This window comes from Homo sapiens, chromosome 20 (assembly GCF_000001405.40).
Source record: "Homo sapiens chromosome 20, GRCh38.p14 Primary Assembly".
Lineage (NCBI taxonomy): Eukaryota > Metazoa > Chordata > Mammalia > Primates > Hominidae > Homo > Homo sapiens.
The window spans coordinates 54,009,638-54,032,518 of NC_000020.11; the positions used below are offsets into that span (position 1 = coordinate 54,009,638).

Consider the following 22,881-nt stretch of genomic DNA (forward strand, 5'->3'; position numbering starts at 1 on the left):
ATGTTTAAAGAAGAATTACACCAATTCTACATGAAATCTCCTAGAAAACAGAAGAGGGAATGCTTACTAATTTATTTTATAAAGATAGTTACCAAAAACTTGGTACCAGAAACAGATAAAGATGGCACCAAAGAAATGAAAAATACCCTACTGATCAATATGCCTCATGAGTATAGATGCAAACATTCTTTACAAAATATTAGCAGGTAGATTTCAGCAATATGTCAAAAGAAGTATACATCATAACCAAATGGGATTTACTATAGGTTTGCAAGCTTGATTAATATTTGAAAGTCAATTGATGTTATCCACAATAGTGACAGACTAAAGAAGAAAAATCACATGATCACAACAGTGAATGCAGAAAAAGTATTCAACAAAATTCAATCCTCCATTCATGATAAATCTCTAAGGAAGACAGTAACAGAGGGTGCTTCCTCAACTTGATAAAGACGATCTACAAAATAAAAATTGAGAACTAACATTATCCTTAATTCTGAAAGACTGAATGCATTTCTCCTAAGATTAGGAGCAAGGCAAGGATGTCAGCTCTCATTATTTGTATTCTACATAGTAGTGGAAGTTCTAGGAAGTATATTAAGGCAAGAAAATAAATATAGGGAATACACATTGAAAAGGAAGAAATAAAACTGTCCCCAGAGAAGATGGCAAAATTAGACAATTTCATTATTTTCAAAATTAGAAAATCCCAAGGAATCAACAGAATAACACCTAGAATTAATAATTGAGTTCAGCAAGGCTGAAGAATACAAGATAAACATGTAAAAATGATCTAGATTTCTATATACTAGGAATGAACCCATGGGCACTGAAATTAAAAATACAATACCATAATAATCATACGAAAATGAAATACTAAGGTTTACATCTCACAAAACATGTGCAAAACTTGTATGCTGAAAGCTATATAATGCTAATGAAAGAAATCATAGGAGACCTAAATAAATGGAGAGACACACAATGTTCATGGATTGGAAGACTCACATAGTAAAGATGTCAATCTGCCCCAAATTGATATACAGGTTTAATGCAATTCCTGTCAAAATTCCAGCACTTGTAGCAAGACATTTTGTAGAGATAGATGAGGTTATTCTAACATTTATATGGAAAGACAAAGGATTTAGAATAATTTTTTAAAATATAAATTGATGAATCAGTCTATCTGATCACAAGCCTTGTTATATAGCTACAGTAAGCAAGGCTGTATGGTATTGGTGGAGACATAGACATATAGAACCAATGGAATAGAGAAGCCAGAAAAGACCCACACAAGTATGCCCAGACGACTTTTGACAAAGGTGTAAAAGCAATTCTACAGAATAAAGATAGTCTTTTCAACAAATTGTGCTAGAGCAATTTGACATCTATAGAGGAAAAGAAAGAACCTCAATTTAAGTCTCACATCTTATATAAAAATTATCTCAAAAGAGATCGTGGACTTAAACATAAAACCTCAAATATAAAACTTTTAGGAAAAAAATAAGAGAAAATTTCTGAGACCTATGGTTAAAAAAATCCATAAAAGACCAAAGACCAAAAGCAAAATCCATAAAAAGAAAACATAATAAATTGGAATTCATCAAAACTAAAAAATTTTGCCCTGTAAAAGATCCTGTTAAAAAGATGAAAAGAGAAACTAGAGAGTGGGAGAAAATATTTGCAAACCACGTATCTGACGAGAGACTAGTATTTAGAATACATTTAAAAGAAAAAAATTCTTAAAACTCAACATTAAAAACAAACAAAACAATCCAATTAGAAAATGGGCAAAAGACGTGAGGGGGCATTTCATTGCAGAGGATATGCAGATGGCAAATAAGCACATAAAGATGTTCAATCTCATTAACCATTAGAAAAGTGCAAATTAAAACCATAACGAGACATCACTATGCACCCATCAAAGTGGTTAAAGCAAAAAATAGTGACTATTAAATGCTGGGAAGGATGCAAGAAACTCGATTACTCACTTTACAATGTAATCACTTTACATTGCTGGTAGAAATGTAAAGGGATACAGGCAGAATAGAAAACAGTTAGACAGTTTCTTAAATAATTAAACATGCAGGCAGGGCGTGGTGGCAAGTGTCTGTAATCCCAGCTACTCTGGGGGCTGAGACGGGAAGATCACTTGACCCTGGGTGGCTGAGCCAAGATGGCACCACTGCACTTGCCTGGGCAACAGAGCAAGATCCAATCTCAAAAACTTAAAATAAATAAATAAATAAAACATGCAACTATAGTGATTGCACTCCTGGTCATTTCTCCTAGAGAAATGAAGAATTATATTCACACAAAAACCTATGCATTAATGTTTATAGCAAAGTTATTTACAATAGCCTCAAAGTTGGAACAACCAAACATCAAACTGGTACTTCCACAGCATGGGATACTACTTGGCAGTCGAAAAGGACCAATATCTACCAAGACACTCAGTGATTCGGATTAATTTCCAGAGATTTATGCTGAAGGGGAAAAAAGCCTATGTAAAAAAGGGTACCCACTGTATGATACTATTTAGATAGCATTCTTGAAATAATAAAGCTATAGCAATGGAGAACAGACTAGTGGTTGCAGGAGGTAAGAAAAGGATGGGGGTGAGAGGGAAGTGGATGCACCTGAACAGTCAGTATGCAGTATCCTTGTGGGGATAAAAATGTTCTCTATTTGATTGTATCATTGTCAATATCCTGGTTGTGATATTGCACTACAGGTCTGAAGATGTTACCGTTGAGTGACGCTGGATAAAGGGATAACTGTTGTATTTCTTACAGCTGCATGTGAATCTACAATAATTTCAAAGTTAAAAAGTAAAAAAAAAAAAAAAAAGCTTGATAGGATAATTCTGGAAGAGCAACAATGAAGAACCACTTAAAAAGTTGAACTTTTGGGATCTGCAGTTAAATAAATTCGCATGTGGTTTTAACATGTGAAATTAACCCATAACAATGTGTGATGGAATATTTTGCAGCCATGAATTATTTAAGGAGTGTGTAATGACAAAATAAGTGTCCATGATAACCGTAAAAATGATCAGCCTTTATGTGTCAGGCCCAGTGCTAAGCTTGTTAAAAAGATCCCGTTTAATTCTTACAACGATCCCATGAAGCATGCACTGTTTGTAATTCCAATTATACAGATGAAGAAATTAATGCACAGAAAGAATAAATAACTTGCCTAAGGTCATAAAGTAGAGTTGGGATTTGATCCCAGGCCCAGCTGATTTCAGAGGCCAAAGGTTTTTCAGTGCTGTGCTGCACTGATTCTATCTCCTTTCCTTCAGATGTTTACTCAAATATTATCTTCTCAGCAAGTCCTTTCCTATTTTAAGTTCCTGCCACTTTATTCCTTTTCTCTGCTGTATATTTTTCTACTTTGTAACCATCAGCCATACAACATATGTTACCATCAACCATACAACATATGTTAGCATCAGGCATACATGCATACGTTGTATGGCTGATGATAACAAGGTGGTAAAATTCCAAAGACATATAGGAATTTAGTATATGATAAAGATGATACCTAAAATCTATGGAAGTGAAGAACTTTTAAATAAAAGATGTAGGAAAAACAGAGCAGCCATCTGGAAAAAAATTAACTTGGTGTCACAACTCAACCCTCTACCAGGATAAAATCCAAATAGATTAAAAATAATACAAGGAAACATGGAAAACAGCTTTTCATTTTGGATTGAGAAGGCTTTTGTGTGTATGACTAGAAATCCAGAAGTCATGAAAAGGAAGATTGAAAAGTAAAAAAATCCAAATGTTTACAAAAACATTCATTGGCCAAGCTTGTGTGAAGAAGGCAATCATGCATTGCTGTTACAAGTATAAACTAATTCAATCCTGATGGAGGGCAGAGTGGCATTGTGTACCAAAACTGTAAAAAGGATATATTCTTTTACCCTGTATTTCCATCTCTAAGAGTTGATGTAGAGGATAAACCTAAACTCACACGTGTGAAATAACAAATGTACAAGGTTATTCATTGCAGTGAGGTTAATAGCGAAAGTCTGGAAGCCAGCCAATGGGCATTAAATGGGGTCCTGGTTAAATAACTCATGGTACAACCATTCAACAGAATACTCTGCAGGCATTACAAGTGAGGAAGCTCCCTACAGATACAGAAAGTATTGTTAACTGAAAACAAGCGTGGAATAGAACAGAGTGCATATTATGTTACCGTTTGTGTAAAAAAGAAAGAAAAAGAATTTATGTTTTATTTCTTATATATGCTCAAAGGAACCCTAGAAAGATACATTAAAAATACAAACAGCAATTATCTACTGGGTGGCATTTTATAATTTTTTGTTTTGAACAGAGTGAATATGTTACGTATTAAAATTAAGACTAAAGCAAAATATGCATGATTAACTAAAAAAATTTAAAAACATCAAGAGGGCCAAGCTAAGCACAGTTGTGATGAGAGTCCAGCCTTCAGGCCACCAGTGTGTGGCCTGTGCTTTAAACATGTTATTTGTAGGTGCTGCTGCTATTCTCATCAGGCCTCCGAATCATTCTCAGCAAACAACATTATACGGAAACAGAAACATTCTCCAGAAAATACCTGGAAACTGTTTTTAAGCAAACAGGCGTCCGTGGTGTTAGCTTGTTTTTCACCTCTGTGTGAGAAGTTTATATATATTTTCTTTTTTGTTGGCTTCAAAGAGCAAACAGATAGGAACACTGCTAAAGTGATTACAATTTGTCATGTTGAAAAATAATGCCGCCTTATCATAATTTGATTGTCTGTAATAAGGCCCATATGGAACTTCTGGCACTTTCTTTCAACTATTGTCAGCTGGACTTCAGACTCCTTTAAGCAGATCTACATTGTTAAAGTGAAAATATAAGATAAGGCTTAAAAAGCCTTGTCTGGAATGATCTGTGATGCCTCTACTCCATCTAGATTTCCTCATTGTGTAGCACTGATTTTACTCTTAGTCTTAACACCACGAATCAGTACTGAAAGTACAGGTGAACACAAGAAAATTTGTGTGAAAAATGTTGAATGGTACAGAAACTCATGACTCCACTCCTTTCCATCTGTCAGAAATTTGAGCCCCATGCTGCCTGGGATAAAAGGGAAGGCTCTGCTTCCTCTCCCCAGAGAATATCACGCGAGCACAGAGGGTTCGATTTGCTGGACAACAATAGTCTCTGGACAATCACGAAGTCTTCATTTTTCTTCTTCTGAAAACACTGTCACCTGCGTGTAGCCATTGTCAGATTCAGGAAGAAAAATAGGGTTTGGTTAATTTTTGAAGATAGAATTTGTCCCCCAATTTGCCTAGAAAGGAAAGCAAATTAATATGCAAGCAGGAAGGAATGTGAAGACCAATACTAAAAATATTTTGCAGAATCTCAGAATTTCCTAAGCAGACTATGATTTTTTTTTTTTTTGAGATGTTGCCCAGGCTGGAGTGCAATGGTGCAATCTCGTCTCACTGCAACCTCCGCCTCCCAGGTTCAAGTGATTCTCCTGCCTCAGCCTCCGAGTAACTGGGATTACAGGCATGTGCCACCATGCCCGGCTAATTTTTGTATTTTCAGTAGAGATGGGGTTTCACCATGTTGGCCAGGCTGATCTCAAACTCCTGACCTCAGGTGATCCACCCCCCTTGGCCTCCCAAAGTGTTGGGATTACAGGCATGAGCCACCATGCCCAAACTCTTTTTTTTTTTAAGTTTGTTTTACTACAGTGCTCAAAGCCACTGAAGGAAGGTCAATAAATATATATTAATGTAGGTAATTCTGTACTTTTATTTTTTCCACTACTCCTACCCAATTCACATCAACTGATAAAAATTCAATGAGTAGTTTTTTTTTTATAATGCATTCACATCTTTCAAGCCCATGGCAAAAACAGGGAAAGAACACAGACAGCACAACCATAGGAAATCCAATTATGAAAGGGCTTCAAATCTGCCCACTTAGGACAACATTTCTCTTTGTGATCTCCTGCTGGAGATGATTACACATTAGCTATAAGTATATTTAAAAAGTTGTTATTCTTTCTGAACAATGAATTGTCACATAAGCTCTGGGTGGCATAGTTTGGAAATTATTGTTAGAGGAAAATAACCTCTTGTTGAACTGTTGCTAGCAGCCTGTGGCAATTTCTAATTAACACAGCTCAGGAATCCTCAGCCTCTTAATGCAGTCTAGAGGAGGAATCGAGAAATTACCTAGATGGTGGCATTTTTTTACTTTTAGTTAGATTGGTGGTTCACTACAGTGCTCCTTTTATAAAAAAGAGAAAATACAGATAACAAAGAATAAAACGAAATGCATCGATTATTCTATTACTGAAAGTCAACTGCTGTCAACAATTTGCAATTTTTTATTCCACGCTGCTCTTTGGGTGGGATGACAGAGCTATGGCACAGGAAGGCAGAGATCATTTTTACCCAGAGGAGATTCTTCTGCATGCTATTTTGAAATCTGCTTTTCTCATTTAACATTATACTATCACTTTCTTCACCTGACCAATTCTATTTTTATGTCACCCTCGTTTACGGTGTCTAGTGTAAGGGTGTGCCACAATCAATATGAAAGACCTATTGGATCATTTCAGCTTTTTTTCTTACAGACAATACTGGAAATTTTTTAAAGCCCCATGCATAAAATATTGATCATGTTCTCAATACATTATTTTTAAACATTTTTTATTGATGCATAATAGATGTACATAATTTTGGGGTACGTGTGATAATTTAATACATTCATGTAATTTGTAAAGATCAAATTCGTGTACTTGGGATATTCATCACTTCAAATATTTGTCTTCTCTTCATGCTAAAAACATTCGACTTATTCTATTCTAGCTAGTTTGAAATGTACAGTAAACTATAGTCACCCTCCTGACCTATCAATCAATAAATTCTTAAATGCAGATTTGCTCATTCAGAAAGCATGTGTGTTTGAAGACTTTAAAATTGCATACTGCCAAAGCGCCACGGTGGAAACAAGCTTCTTAGTGGTCCAGGTAGTTGATTAAGAAATTATCTAAGACTTCAGAGGGAAATAAAATAACATGAAAATATAAAACCAAGAAATCTAGATTTCCATTGTCCTCTGGCATCTTTTCTGAGATGGAAATTGAGTCTGGATAACACAGATATAAAAATGTTCCACTTAGCCATTTTTCTTCCTCTTTTGGGGAAGAGAGAGGCAATGTTAATTTCAGCTGCTTATACTAATTGAACCAAGCCGGGTTGGACCAATTATCCAGTGTGATACTCTCTACTGTAAATCACAACATCACTACCTGTTTTACTACCCTGTGGACATAACCTCAGGATACTTAAGGCTCATCTCACACGGGGGTAGCAGAAGTCTAGCCCAGGGCCTTAGCATGGTACATCATCATTAATCCATAGTTATTAACTGATGTGGAGATGTTACATTTGTAAGATTAAATAAAGCATTGTCTGTTGTTCACATAGGGGGAGGGGGGAAAGAAATCTATCTAAGAAAGCAACGCACACTTGCTTCCCATATAAAGCTAGTGTACATTTTCTCTTTTCTCCCTCAGCAACTCCTCTGCTTGAGGGGTAAGTGAATTTGTCAACTTGAGTTCCAATGGCAAGTAAAATGTGGGTAGAGAATTAAGCAATAAAATGTTCTTCTCTTGTTTCCCTTTTGGCAGCAGGCTTTGCTTTGGGGATAGTCCTAAGGACACATGAGTTGGCACACTCTTAAGTATAGTTCCCTTATGTGTGATTTTTTTTCTTTTCTTTTTTTTTTTTTTGAGGTGGAGTCTCGCTCTGTTGCCCAGGCTGGAGTGCAGTGGTGCGATCTCGGCTCACTGCAATCTCCATCTCCCAGGTTCAAGCGATTCTCATGCCTCAGCTTCCTGAGTAGCTGAGATTATAGGCGTGCACCACCATGCTTGGCTAATTTTTGTATTTTTAGTGGAGATGGAGTTTCACCATGTTGGCCAGGCTGGTCTTGAACTCCTGGTCTCAAGTGATCCTCCTGCCTCAGCCTCCCAAACTGCTGAAATTATAGGTGTGAGCCACCACGCCCGGCCAATATGTGTGATTTAAAATGGAAAAATACTGCTGCAGGCAGAGTGAGTGAAGAGTGATTCCCAGGGTAAGCCACACTGGGCAAAAGGGATTTGTGGAAGATTCTTCTGTTCCATGATTAGTTCCTAACAAGCACAACCTTCCAGACTGGTGACAGCATTTCACATTTACTAAAGGAAAAATACCCAATGTTACGGAAAACAAACAAACAAAAACAAAAAACAAACAAAAACCACACCAGAAAACCTGCCTTTAAATACAAAAAACTAATAATCCACAGCCTAGAACACATTCGTCATCTATTTAACAAACACTTCCCCAAAGCGAGAAAACAGTTTTGAATGCTGCCAGAATTAGGTTGCAGACTTTCTAAGAATTGTTTGGCCCGTGCAAAGAAAGAAAGAAAAAGTCACATGCTATTCACTGACTGTTTAAACACTTCTCTGTTTCTGTTCCTCACCCAGTTGTGATTTTCACTCTCCTGTCTACTTTCTATCTCAAAACTCTGTTTATTTCACTCAGAGCTCTTTCTAAACTCTGGAAGTGTTTGCTTGTTAATTCTCTTTCTTTTTTAAATTGTTGGTCTCTCCACTAGAAGGAAAGCTCCCATGAAGTACACTGTTCTACCTGCTGGGGAATCTAAAATCATTCCTGGCACAAAGGAAATACTCATATTTGTTGCATGAATAAATGAAAGTATCCACTTACTTTTTTTTTTTTTTTTTCGAGACAGAGTCTCGCTCTGTCATTCTCCTGCCTCAGCCTCCCGAGTGGCTGGGACTACAGGCGCCCGCCACCACGCCTGGCTAATTTTTTGTATTTTTAGTAGAGACGGGGTTTCATTGTGTTAGCCAGGATGGTCTCGATCTCCTGACCTCGTGATCCACTTGCCTCGGCCTCCCAAAGTGCTGGGATTACAGGCGTGAGCCACCGCGCCCAGCCTCCCACCCCTTTTATATATTGCTTAACACTGGCTGCCTGATTGACTCTCAGGCTGGAATGACAGATGGTCATCTAAGTAGCTTCAAATTCTGATAAGTGCTATGAAGGATGAAGGAAGTAAAGTGGTCCATGATGGGTGTATTTACTTGATTCTCAACTGTACCCAAGAAAAATACCAATGCAAGTGTTATGACGAAGGACAACCTACATGGCTGCGCTGCTGGGAATCATTTGGTGAACTGGAGAGTGGGTGCCCCATCTTAAGGGACAGTCACAACTCACATTCTGTCTGGAAATATAGGGCAAAACTACCCATTATGGGGAAGTCTGAAATATAGAATTGTATTGACATATTATTGCTTTAAAATATCATCAACTTTGTTAATTCAAAAATATAATTAATTAATTAAAATATTATTTAAAACACTATGTAGGCCAAGTAAGATGCATCTCTGGCTAGAGGCCTTCTACAGATGGCTAGTTTTCAACTTCTGGTTTATGTTTTTTATTTTATTTTACTTCTTCAAACCCACAGCCAACATCATACAACTTCTGGTCTAAATGCCTAGCTCAACGTTCTCTAGAAGAACCATTCCTTGGAAAATTGAGCTACCTTGTTAGAGGCCCAACAGCTACATGGATGATTAAGTTTGAGAAACACTTGGTTAAACAAAGTGAAACAGGCGTGCTTGCTGCAGGACTTCTCAGAGCCTTTAGTAGGTGGATGTCCATTGTGAATCTTCAGTAGAGACTATAAAGCAAATAGATTTTCTGAAACTATTCCATAGCAGAGCCCTATTTCTAGGCCCATCTTATTGGACTAACGTTCCACAGACCAACTTGGAAAGTACTATCACGCTGGTTAACATTAGGTGTCAACTTGATTGGATTGAAGGATGCCTAGATGGCTGGTAAAGTATTGTTTCTGGGTGTGTCTATGAGGGTGTTGCCAGAGGAGATTAACATTTGAGTCAGCGGACTGGGAGAAGAAGACCCACCCTCAATGTGGGTGGGCACCTTCCAATCGGCTGGCAGCATGGCTAGAACAAAGCAGGTGGAAGAAGGTGGGATAAGCTGGGTTGCTGAGTCTTCCAGCCTTCATCTTTGTCCTGTGCTGGATGCTTCCTGCTCTTGGACGTTAGACTCCAGGTACTTTGGCCTTTGGACTCCTGGACTTACACCAGTGGTTTGCCAGGGGCTCTCAGGCCTTTGGCCACAGACTGACGGCTGCACTGTCGGCCTCCACACTTTTGAGGCTTTTGAACTTCTGCCACTACTGGCTTCCTACCTCCTCAGCTTGCAGACGGCCTATAGTGTGATTTCACCTTGTGATAATGTGAGGCAATTCTCCTTAATAAACTCCCTTTCACATATACGTCTATCCTATTAGTTCTGTCCCTTTGGAGAACCCTGACTAATACAACTAACTTTAGAATTTTTTAAAGATATAAGATGTTTCAAAAGTTTTAAAGTGTTTCATCTCTTTGAACCTATAGGCACAGTGGTTAAGTGTGTGGGCATCGGTGACCAATTTCCACCCTGCCACTTTCTAGCACTATGATTTGCACAAGTTACTTTACCTCTCCGTGACTTAGTAAACTTGATAAGTTATAGCCGTTACAACTTCTGAGGGGGCGAGTCAGATGGGACAATACCAGAGGGAATGATAACTCAAAATTTATTTTACAAATTAATTGCAAAAAACAATTTACTAGATATTTCAATGGATTAACGCCATGACATGTTAAAGACCAAATTTAAAATACCAAGTAGATAGTACAAATGTAGACTTGTACTATGATTCTAAAGTTTAAGTGAAATCGTATACACCACATATTTTGCAATGACTTTCTATTTCAACTTGTGTTAGGCAGAGCAGATAATGACGTTGCAATAATACATCCTAACAGTCTGAAAAGTTGAACCATGACGTGTACCACCCTTATTCTTGTCAGGTTCATTTAACAAACATTATTGGATGCCAACATGTGCCAGCCATTGTGCTAGGCATTGGGAATACTCAGTTGCATAAAAAATGGTCACGTCTCTTAAGATAACTGTCTCAATGTGTCGAAGTGGTCAGATAACAGAACAGCGTTCTCCAAATTTCAGACTGTGATCATTAGCAGATTTAAAAATAAGGTAGTGGGTCAAAACCAGCAGTAAACAAATCAAACAGAATAGAAAAGAATACAAAATCCCTGCAGGTGTTACATGCTGCAAGAATAGTATTACTTCATGAATTCTTTGTTTCATGTATGCGCATGTATATCAGCTCAAGTAAAATCTAGTTCTTACTATGGGGTCACAGTTAAATTAGAAAACTAATGTAATGGATACACTCAGATGAATTACCATAGGTGGATACTGTAGCAGCTTCTACTTGCTCCATTCACTTAATGATTTCCAGACAATGTTAGGTAGAGAAGATAAATCTGGTTTCTATCTGTGGCATGTCCTCTTTGCTGGAAGAGCCTTCTTTCTACTGAAGAAACTGAAAATGCTGGCTGATAGCTATTTGCACCTTGACACAGACACGTGACTCAATTTCACCAAAGGGCTCTGAGGATAAATTTTAGGAAACTCCTTTCTTATTTATAGGACATTATGACACATACATCGGAAATATTACACGTCCAATTCCAGGTCACTGCAATAGAGTCAATATCACAATAGAGTCACACACATTTTTCGGTTTCCCAGTGCACATAAAAGTTCTCCACTGTCCTGGAGTCTATTAAGTGTGCAATAGCATTACGTCTAAAAAAAAAGTACATACTTTAATTTAAAAATACCTTGTCTCATGGTGTATATGTACCACATTTTCTTTACCCAGTCTATTGTTGATGGGCATTTGGGTTGATTCCATGTCTTTGCTATTGTGAATAGTGCTGCAATGGAATACTATGTGTCCATAAAAAGGAACAAGATCATGTCCTTTGCAGGGATATGGATGGAGCTGGAAGCCATTATCTTTGGCAAACTAACGCAGGAACAGAGAACCAAACACCGCATGTTCTCACTTATAAGTGGGAGATGAACAATGAGAACAGATGGACACAGGAAGGGGAACAACACACACTGGGGCCTGTCGGGGGTTGGGGGAGGGAGAGCATCAGGAAAAATAGCTAATGCATGCTGGGCTTAATACCTAGGTGATGGGATGATAGGTGCAGCAAACCACCATGGCACACATTTATTTTAAGTTCTGGGGTACACGTGCACGTCACCCGGGCTCCTGCACATCCTGCATTTGTACCCCAGAACTTAAAATAAAAATTACAACAAAAACTTTATCTCTAAAAAATGCTGACACAAAGACACAAAGTGAACACAGGCCATTGGAAAAATGGTGCTGACAGACTTGCTTGATGCAGGATTGTCACAAACCTTTAATGTGTAAAAATGCAGCATCTGTGAAGCACAATAAAGAGAGGTACTCCTGCATACTTGGAATCATGTTAAAACCACAAGGGACTAAGCCTAGGGACTAAGCAACAATGGAGGACACCAGTAGAGAAAGACTGAGGCGGGCTTGTGGGGGCTGTGAAGATGTTGAACCAACCTGAACTCCCCTACCTCTAGGGTTCTTTTTACATGCAAGAAATAGTACATCCTCCTTGTTAAGTGAACCACTATTAATTGATTGTTGTGTGTGTGTGTGTGTGTGTTTCCTGCAGCCAAAGTAAAAATGATATATTACCAACCCCTAAATGATACACTATTCAAACTCCATCACTCTGAAAAGCCATTTGATCTATTTCATAATTACTCATTTCTAAGTTTCTAACAATTTAGAAAATATACAGTTTTATTTAGCATGACTACTACTGATGGCCTATATTATCTTCTAACTTTACAAAAACCCCTAGGGCAGGTAGTAGCTTCCTTTTGTGGATGAAAACACAGGTTTTTAAATGATTGAGTATAACAGGCTTAGGTGACAGATGGATCTCGATTCCACTTCTGCCACTAATTAGCTTTGCGACCTTAACGCAGGTAACTTAAGTTCTCCCCAAGTTCTCTCCTCTGTTCAATGGCAATAGAAATACCTACCTTGTTGGGTTTTTTTAACAATAAAAACAGATAATGTATGCAAAATGCTTACTGCACAGCCTAGAAATAATGAATTATTTTAAAATGGGGCTATTATTGTCATTTAACTCAACCACACAGCTATTTAGTGGTAGAGTCTGGACTCATACCTAGGTCACCCAGGCTCCTAACACTTCCACATCACCTCTGCCACTGCAAACATCTCATATTAAGCGTTTCTTACTGCTAAATGCATCAAAATCCCAGTGGTATAGCTGAGGACCTTGTTTACTCCAAAACTTGCATAATGTAAGATGGATTTTCCCTTTGCACTGACAAAGTCTTTTGGGTGGCTAGTTCTCTTTACCAGTTGAAAAGGCATGGCCTTGTGGACATAAGGCAGAAACAACACAAAATAAAAAACAGTTAATAATTCACTTGGCCTTCTAATGTTGAAATTCGGTAATTCTTTTTATTTGTTTTTATTTTTCACTTGGGATTTTGGGTATTTACAACTTTGCATATGCTAACATCTTTGAATTTCATTGCCTCAAGTTGTAACTTCATTGAACAAGTTTCAAATAATTGGCAAAAATAGAAACGTTGACTATTTAAGACTATGGGCTTTGGAGATGGACAATTTTGGCTGTGCCACCTTTTAGCTGTGTGTCAGGAGTGATATGCTTTCTCTGAACTGTTGACTTCTTCATCTGTAAAATGGTGAAAATACAGGAATTCCCTGGTAAGATTTGATGGCTCAATGAGCTGATTTCTACAAAATGATTTAATCACAGAATTTGACTTAAAATGCGAGAGGGATTCATGCTGTCCGAAATCATCCAAGAGTGGAGATATCTGGTTAGCTTCATGGAGAACCTGGCACTGAATATCAAGTCAATTTTTGATAAACAGAGAGAGAAAGGGACATAGGCAGAGAAAATACCAGGAGACAGATGGCGTTTGCACAGGTCAGGTGTTGGCCATATTGACTGGAGAAATTTAAGGGAAGGGTGGAAAATGCAGTTGGAAAATAGGCAGAGGAAACATTGTGGAAACCCTTAAATGTCAGACAAAGAAACTGAGGCTTATGGGCATGGACACTAACATTTCTATTGTTTCAAAAATAATTTTACAACTTTTATACCTTTCTCACCCAAGTTAGGACTTGTGCCTTTGGTTATACAACTCTTAAATTAGAGTCAACTGTGCTATCTCTGTGAGTTTGGGTTGAGGACTATGGAAGGGAAAGGCAAAAAATAAAAGTAAAATGTGAAGTAGAAGACAGGGAGAAAACCCATAATACTGGTAATAGCTAATTTCTCTTTTTCTTCTTTCAAAATGCAATTTGTGCTAAGTACTTTATATGGCCTATCTCATTTAACTTCTAAAAGTGTGAACAATGTGAGAATGTGCTAGATACTATTATTATCCCCATTTTACAGATGAGGAAACTGAGGCTCAGGAGGTGAAGTAGCTTGCCCAAGATCACACAGCCAGTAGGTGACAGAGGTAGAGAGGAAACCTAGGCTACTTGACTATGATGCTTATGTTTAATTCACTACTAAATACCATGTAGGAAAGGACTCTGGAGACCTTAGTTCTTTAATTCCAATTCTACCACTAAACAGTAGAGACAGGATGAACTTGTCATTCACTGAGATGGAAAACCCCGTGAATTAAACTGGTGGGCATTTTGTTTTTGTCATTGTTAGGCGATGAATGAAGAGTTCCATTCTGGACACATTAGGGTTGAGATACTCAGTGAGCAGCCAAATGGGGATGTAGAAATTCAAGTAGACATGTGGAAGAGGAGGCAGCTGAGACTCACGTCTGGACTTCAGGGATGGATCCCGGCTAGAGATGTAAATTTGGAACTTGTCAACCCATAGCAGTATTTAAACCTTTGGGACTGAGGGAAACCTTCAAGGAAATAAGCGTAGTTAGAGATAGCCAAGAAGTGAACCCTGGGGAAGTCCAACATTTAGAGGGTGAGATCCAGCAAAGGAGATGATGGAAGAGTACCAGGGAGGTGGAAGGATGTTGTTTCAAACAGCAAGGTGTGGCCCACTCAGTCACTGTGTCGGATTCAACTTGCAGGTCAGACCTACTAGGACAAAGATAGAGACCTATAGGATTTGGCAGCCAGGGTGATGGTAGGGAATTTGAAACATCATGGTGGCTGTGACAAGAGCCTGAATGGAGTGTGTTCAAGAGAGAAAAGAAGAGAAGTGAAAACACAGAATATTGTTCTTATTATTAGTAGCCTGAGCCAATCTGAGGACCGATGCACTTATCACAATGTCTCTTAAAATACTATGTCTCTTACTAGATTATACACTCCTTGACAGACGAGAAACATGATTTATTTTTCAAATGCCTTGCACAAGGTTAGTGCGAAAGTAACGATTGCAGGATTTAATTACACTTTTAAAAGAAAAAAGACATTCTTCATCTTATGAAACTCTGCATGGCAACACTTTATGCGCCCCACACCCCCACTCAACACAAACACAACTCTGGAAGTACTGTGTTGATAACAGAAATGTGGTGGGTTTTATTTTTAACCAATAAAGGTCAAGTTTGCATTATGTGATTTTGTGTGTGTGTGTGTTGAATCTTTTAAATGCATATCTTACAGCTCTGGTTCAGTTGTTGTGGGGAGAGGAAAAAAACCTCATCCCTGCCAACACATTGGTTTGTATGAATCACAGCTCAGTGAAACCTTTCAGGCATATAATTTATCTTTTCTTTGGCCTATGTAGTAAACGCTTCATTTGTTCATGAATTCTTGCCTTGTTTTAATTATGCTTTGCCCTGAATGTAGTTTTATAAGGCACAAAAATAAGATTGTCGTTCTGAAAACACAGAAGATTTGTATGTTTCCCCCAGGATGAAATGGTGGCATCTTTCTCCCAATTCACAGCTCTGTGGGCTTGTGGCTGGAATTCCAATCCAGCAGGGAGCAAGCCATAAAAATGGGGGGAAGGGCTGCTGGAGGGAGGCAGTAGATGCGGCTGAGCCCAAGGCATAATTCACCCTAAGAATTCTGAATCAATACACTGACATCCAGCCATGTACAATGTGGTACTCCCACCAAGAAAGCCACTGATTGAGAAGTTTTATTCATGTTACTTTCTGAGGGTTGGATTGTCCCATTACATTTATAGAACAATTGCTTTTTTCCCCCTAAATACAGAACTATGCAGCCGGGAGTCAGAAAAGAAACCTTGACAATCAGAAGGCTGTTTTGTTGTTGTTGTTAAAAACCTTTGCAGGCATATGCATCTGAATATCCATAAGTTCACAGGCTGAGGGAGAAATGGCTATTTCATAACTTTTCTGTGTTTCTCATGTACATAGTACAAAGTGGGCACTCAGTATTTCAAATTTCAATATCACTGAAAAAAATGGAAATTTGTCATGTAACAAAATCAGATGCAGACTTCACTGGTGAATCTGAGGGAGTGAATTCACTTATTCAGAAAGGAAGACAGTTACAATTCTTGGGTCTTCTGAGAGATCATTATAACTTGAAAATATTACACAAGGGCTTTGCTATATTAGATACCTGCCATGTTCCTAACACAAGCTCCCATTTTCTGACTCAAATCTCATTTTGGAACACATTCCACTCAAATTGAGGTTCTACCCCTAAGAGTTCTTTTTCAATAAAGAAAGCTGAGTTAATAAATCACAACTCCAAAACTTTTCCTCACTTTTCTTAGACTAGAAATAGATTGAGTGTGTCGAGGTTTTATGGCTGAGTACATTGGAGGGCTGGCTATTCTATGCTGAACTGGTTTACTTGATTAAGATGGGGATTTGGATGAGTCACCGGACACCTGTCCAAAGATGAGTAAAACACATTCCTTCATTGTCTTCCCATAAATAACTCAATCTTCTCCTAACTGAGCCAATGGATAGGCTTTGGATGCCCAAGCAAAACAAACACATGACTGTTAAAAAATCACAACCTCAAAATGGCCTTAGAAGCCTATGACCAATAATGAGAATGGTTTCTCCACTCAGGCGCAAGTAGTAAACAGTTTCTCCCATATGCAGGAATATTGACGACTAGTTTACCGCCTCTGGGCACGTAACTTTCAGGTCCTGGTTCATGCATTTGCTGGAATGTTCCCTGGGCCATGGAGCCCAGTTCTCCTGGCATCTGGCATCTCCCCCACACTCTGCTCCCCCAGCACAGCACTTGGCATCTTGCATTGCAATTGCAGGTTTATTTATTCACTTCTCTCACTGGACAGCAAACTCCACCAGGGCCGAGACTCTGTGTCTCGCCCTTCACTGTGGTCCCTGTGCCTCACCTGTTCCTAGTACAGTGTCACACTCAGTAAAGAGCAGATGCCTGGTGCATTTGGAGACTTATTTTAAATTATACGGAAAGTTATTCAACCGGCTTCTTGAACTGGTGAATTTTGGAAAGTGGGTGTTTGAAGGGAAAATGTTTAAACTCTGAAAGAAATGTTGGAAATAAGCTCTTTGAATCAAAATGTATAGAAAACACAAGAATGCTGACAGTAAGAGCCTAAAACACATGATGACTATTATCTTTTCCCAATTTTAACTCTCCAGAGTGTTCAGCGGTGCCCAGCCTTCATAATGTAATTCTTCGTAGCACCCTGGATGCATTAAAACCATAGATTAACGTGATACTTATTTTCATTAAGGAAAATAATTTACGTACAGTGCTCAGAGTAGAGCCTGGCACATTGAACATTTTCAATAAATGACAGCAAGTGTAATTATTAGCACTTCGGAAGTGCAAAGTTGCATTGTATTAAGACAAATATATTTGGAGCTCATCCAATTTTTTCCTGGCTCTGAAGTCTGCTAGTGGCACTTAACTTTATTCCCAAGTTTTGAAAAATATTGTTATTTAAAAAGTCTGTTAACCAAGGAAATGCATGCCCTAAACCTATAATGTATCAAGTTTTACTTCCTTCTTCTTTTAAGGAGTTCTTTTCCTGCCTTGAATACAAACAGGCTCTCTCAAGGTTAAAAGCAAATGCTCTTTTTAGTGTCAAAAAGAGCTTGCCTTTCTTCGCTCAGGAAAAAAAGCAACTGATTCCAGGATACCTTCTTTGAAAACCAACACAAAAAAACCCCCCAAAAAACAAAAAAAAAACCCAAAACCCCTAGTTTTTACAAAGGTTTATTACTCCTACTTGTTGGAAAAGAATTACTACATAAAAGAGTCTGCCCAGAGCTGTAAAATCTCCTTATTCAAACACACACCTTAGAGCAAAAGATGGTTAAATATCAATTCAGGCTATTAACAGTAAGGGACGAAATGTGTTCCAACAAAACTCTGCATGTCAACAAACTACAGAGACTAGGTAACATCTTTTAGGAATCATTTTTATTCCACTAATGCCTTTTCCTCCAGAATCCACTGATCGTAAACGCAACCTGTCTACTTCCGCCTTTGAAAAATGGATGGACAAATTCATCTGCATGTAACTCACCTCCTCTTTTCTTTTACATAAAACAGATGCCACAGCTGTTATTGTTCTTCACACAGAAGTTTCTACCCAGAGAAACATCAGGATGACACTCTGCTGCAATGTGCTATTTGTTCTAGAGGGGTCAACAGCTTGCCACCTTGCCTAGGCCCAGGGTGACTGCATATGTGCAGTGGTCTTATCCCATTAGCGCCCCCGAGCATGCATTCAGAACCAAGTGGATACACCTTGGCACACTTACCTTCCCTGCAGGGACATCATCGGACTGCCCTGATAAGCCAGGAACCTCATCCACCTTGTCTTGATGCTCTGCCCTCTTGGCTTCCTGTTGGCTGTCACCTGGCACCTTTTCCTGTCCCTTGTCCAGCTTGAAGAATTTGTCAAAAAAGCTGGAGTCCTTGGGCTTGGAGGGAGCTTCTCCTCCTGCTCCCCCTGTCTCAGGTGGGAGAAGCGTGGGATCCCTGGCGGCAGAGAGGACCTTGTCTTGGGCCGGGGCGTGCCCTGGGGTTTTATCTGTGTCCTGCCCCGGTCCAGCTGCCACCGGAAGTGTCCAGCTCTCACTTGGGTCTTTGTTCGCTGGAGCTTTATTGGAGCTGACATCAAGCTTCACTGATCCAAGGGATGAATCTGCGGCTTGGTCTCCGGTACGTCCTGGTACAGGCCGAGAGAGCATCAAGAAAAAACGAGATTTAGCAGCTGGTGCCTCGGGTTTGGCCTCTTTCCCAAGATTCTTTCCGTTGGCATCCGCAACAGCACTTATCTCCGTTGTCTCGGGGGAAGAAGTGGCCACATTATCCGTCTTGACACTTATTCCCAAGTCGACTGTAAACACAAACATAAACAGTGGTTATTCAGCCAAGCCGGGAAATTCAGGCACTAATAATGGACTCCAGACATTTTTTATACAAAAGCCATACTGCATACTGGAACTGTGTTGTTCTCTGGTCATTCTGAAAGGCAGAAGTTAGCTCTCTACATCTCCTTGGACCCTGCTTTTCTTGGGAGAGGAGAAGGCAAGGTTGGTGAGGAGGGAAAGCTACTTAATGGAAAGTCACTAGCTGCCAGGTGTGGAATGAGTGATATTCAATGTTAATTAATCTTCTTTTATCTGTGTAAGAACTCCGTGAGCAGCATATTGTCATGATGTCAACTGGGAGGCAGTACAGCAGTTAGGAGCTTGGGTTCTGGAGCTAGAACAAGGTTTCTCAACCTCAGCACTACTCACATTTGAAGCCAGATTATTCTTTGTTAGGGAGGCTCATCCCGTGCCTCATAGGCTGATTAGCAGCATCCTGGCCTCTGCCCACTAGACGCCGGTCACATTTCCCAGTCATGGCAACCAAAAATATCTCTAGGCATTGCTAAATGTCCCCTGGAGGACAAAATCTCTTACGTTTGAGAGGCACTGAGCTGAAATGTCTTTTTGAATCCAGATTATCTAATTTTCTGTGCCTCAACTTTCTGGTAAAAGGAGACAGATAATAAATCTCGTAATTTTGTTAGGAAGATTACATGAGTTAATAGTTTTAAAGCAAGTACAATAGCACCTGGAATATATTAAGTGCTTAATAAATATCACAAACATTAGTTATCATTATTCATGAGTGAGAAAACTGACAGTCAGAGAGGTCAGTACACCCTCCCCTGGCTGCCCAGTAAGCTAGTAAGCAGCAGAGTCTGGCTTCAGGCAGAAATCTGACTTCTAAGTTCATGCGCTCTCTGTCTTACCAGGGACTTGTATTAGCATAGACTGTTAAGAATATGGGAAGATTTTTAAAATACAGTACTCAGAAAATTTCTCTTTGAAAGGCTGGAAGAGCAGATATCCACACAAGAAGGCAAATTAGACCTCAGGCCAGTGTGGAATTAAAGGTGTAGGGTTATCTGGTCAAGACTGTGTGTGTGGATACAGGCTCCAACCCCTCCAGGCAAGGGCACTGTTTCCAACATCCACCCTTTCTCCTTTGACCTCTACCTTGACCTAAATTAACTATAAAAGGTCCTTCTTTTCTAGGACCCTACTATAAATCAGTGAAATATTCAGGAAAAAAAGAACACCAAGAATGTTGGGATCCCAGTTAAAGATCAAGATTCTCTACTGATAAGCTGTGTGATATGGAGTAAATCACTAAAGATCTTTGAATCTCTTCATTTGTAAAATGGGAATATTGGTAGTCCTACTGCAGGGTTGTTGTAATGCTTAAAGAAGAAAAGTCATGCAAAGGATCTGGCACAACGCCTTTTCCATAATAAGTGCTTAGTAATTGACAGATACTGTGATAACTTTTCAGGTTTCTCTCATGCCTTTGACAACATTGCATTTTGCTTGCTCTATCTGTAGTCAGACACTTCTTAATATCTGTTTGCAGGAAGACAGAAAAATAAAGGGAAGAATTGAGATTTCTTTGATCTATTCATACTGCTCATTAATATGTAGTGAGAAATACATACACACACACATACACACACATGCATCCATTAGCAATTGTTTTTGCCCAACTCTAGTGTCTCGCAGTGTCTAGACTAAACAACAAACAAAAAAGGGGGGAGAGTGAGCTGGATTAAGCATTGAGGCACAGTGAAGAAATGGTCTGGGGCAAGCCCAGGGATGAATGTTAGGGGTTTCTCATAAACCTGAACCTGAAGAAAATCACCCTGCCAGCATATTGATCTTCTAGCTCTTCTTAACCTTTTTTTCTGTGATTCAGGAATTCATAATGATAGAAAATATTATACTAAAGAAGAAAAAAAGAGGGAGAATAAGTAAGTGATAGATGGATGCATCAGGGTGTAAAGTTAGCAAGTAAGGCTGTTGAAGTGTCAGAGTGAATATAAATGAATTGTGGGAATGGTCCATGCCAGGAGAAGAGGGTATGGTTGACAAAAAGGGAAATGCTAAGATTCAAAACAGGGAAGGGCTTTTCAAAATGCCAAGAGCACCAACTTATATCTTTCAGTTTAATTCCTCTCTTCCTTACCCACTGGCTGGAAAGCAAAGGAGCTAGTGGTAAGTAAGAGTGTTATAGCCAGAGAAAAAGTCTTCAAAAAACACAAAGTACTTTCCATGGACAACCTTTTTTATTTTAAAGTGCCAATATGTTGCTTTGAAAAAGAATAAATTCCTTACATCCAGGTATCTGGACTAGACTTCAGTGCATTTAGTGATTATAGCAAATCCAAACAGTAGCTTTTGATATCAGAGAATGGGTAAAGTGTTTTTGACAATTTCTAAGAACTTAGAGTTCTTCGGTGATACGTTCCATGCAACTGAAGCTCTGCTCTCCAAATTTAGGTGGGTACATACCCAAGTCCATCACCTGGGGCTTCTATTTCCTTTGCTCAGATGCTCACCTCCTAGGTGGGCACCTGACATAAGATAGACTAATAAAAATAAGTCCTGTAACTTTTGATACTCCTATTAAAAAAGAGTTGCAAACCAATAGGAGGTACACTTGAGAATCAGCACAAATGAAAGTAGAACCTGGAAATCCAGGAAGCAGATACCCAATCATGTCATTTAAACATTTAGATCCAGCTGTGCCTGAAGCTGAACTTTAGCATTACATAAGCCAATAAATCACTCTTCCCCAACTTACGCCAGTTGAAATTGAATACATACTCAGTGACTTTGAGAGAATTCCAGGGAATTGGTCAGTCCCTGTTTCACTTGTAAATACACAGCAATCAAGCCTACCAAATCTATGATTGATTGGGGTGTCTGAAAGAGATGGAGGGAATGGAATCAACCTGAAAAACATATTTCAGGAGTTCATCCCTGAAAACTTCCCCAACCTAGCTAGAGGGGCCAACATTCAAATTCAGGAAATGCAGAGAACCCCAGTAAGATACTCCACAAAAAGATCTTCCCCAAGACATCATCATCAGATTCTCCAAAGTTGAAATGTAAGAAAAAATGCTAAAGGCAACTAGAGTGAAAGGCCCGGTCACCTAAAAAGGGAAGCACAGACTTACAGTGGACCTCTCACTGGTAACCCTACAAGCCAGAAGAGATTGAGGACCAATATTCAACATTCTTAAACAAAAAGAATTCCAACCCAGAATTTTATATCTGACTAAACTAAGCTTCATAAGCAAAAGAGAAATAAGATCATTTTCAGACAAGCAAATGCTAAGGGAATTTGTGACCATTAGACCTTCCTTGCAACAGTTCCTAAAGGAAGCACTAAATATGGAAAGACCATTACCAGACACTACAAAACACACTGAAGTACACAGACCAGTGACATTGTAAAGCAACTACATAACAAGTCTGCAAAATAACCAGCCAACATCATGATGACGGTATCAAATCGACACATAGCAACACTAACCTTAAATGTAAATGGACTAAATGATCCCATTAAAAGA

At 39.0% G+C, this 22,881-nt stretch overlaps 1 protein-coding gene across 19 annotated transcripts in view; it reads right to left on the reverse strand.

Moving 5' to 3' along the window:
- Positions 1 to 22,881, reverse strand: part of BCAS1 (brain enriched myelin associated protein 1) — a 127,054-nt gene that overhangs the window by 66,097 nt on the left and 38,076 nt on the right. For all 19 annotated transcript variants that reach the window (NM_001366297.2, XM_017028111.3, NM_001366295.2 and 16 more), the window contains exon 4: positions 18,755 to 19,335. In NM_001366297.2, the coding sequence (NP_001353226.1) occupies positions 18,755 to 19,335 (581 nt within the window). The remainder of the gene's footprint in view (positions 1 to 18,754; positions 19,336 to 22,881) is intronic.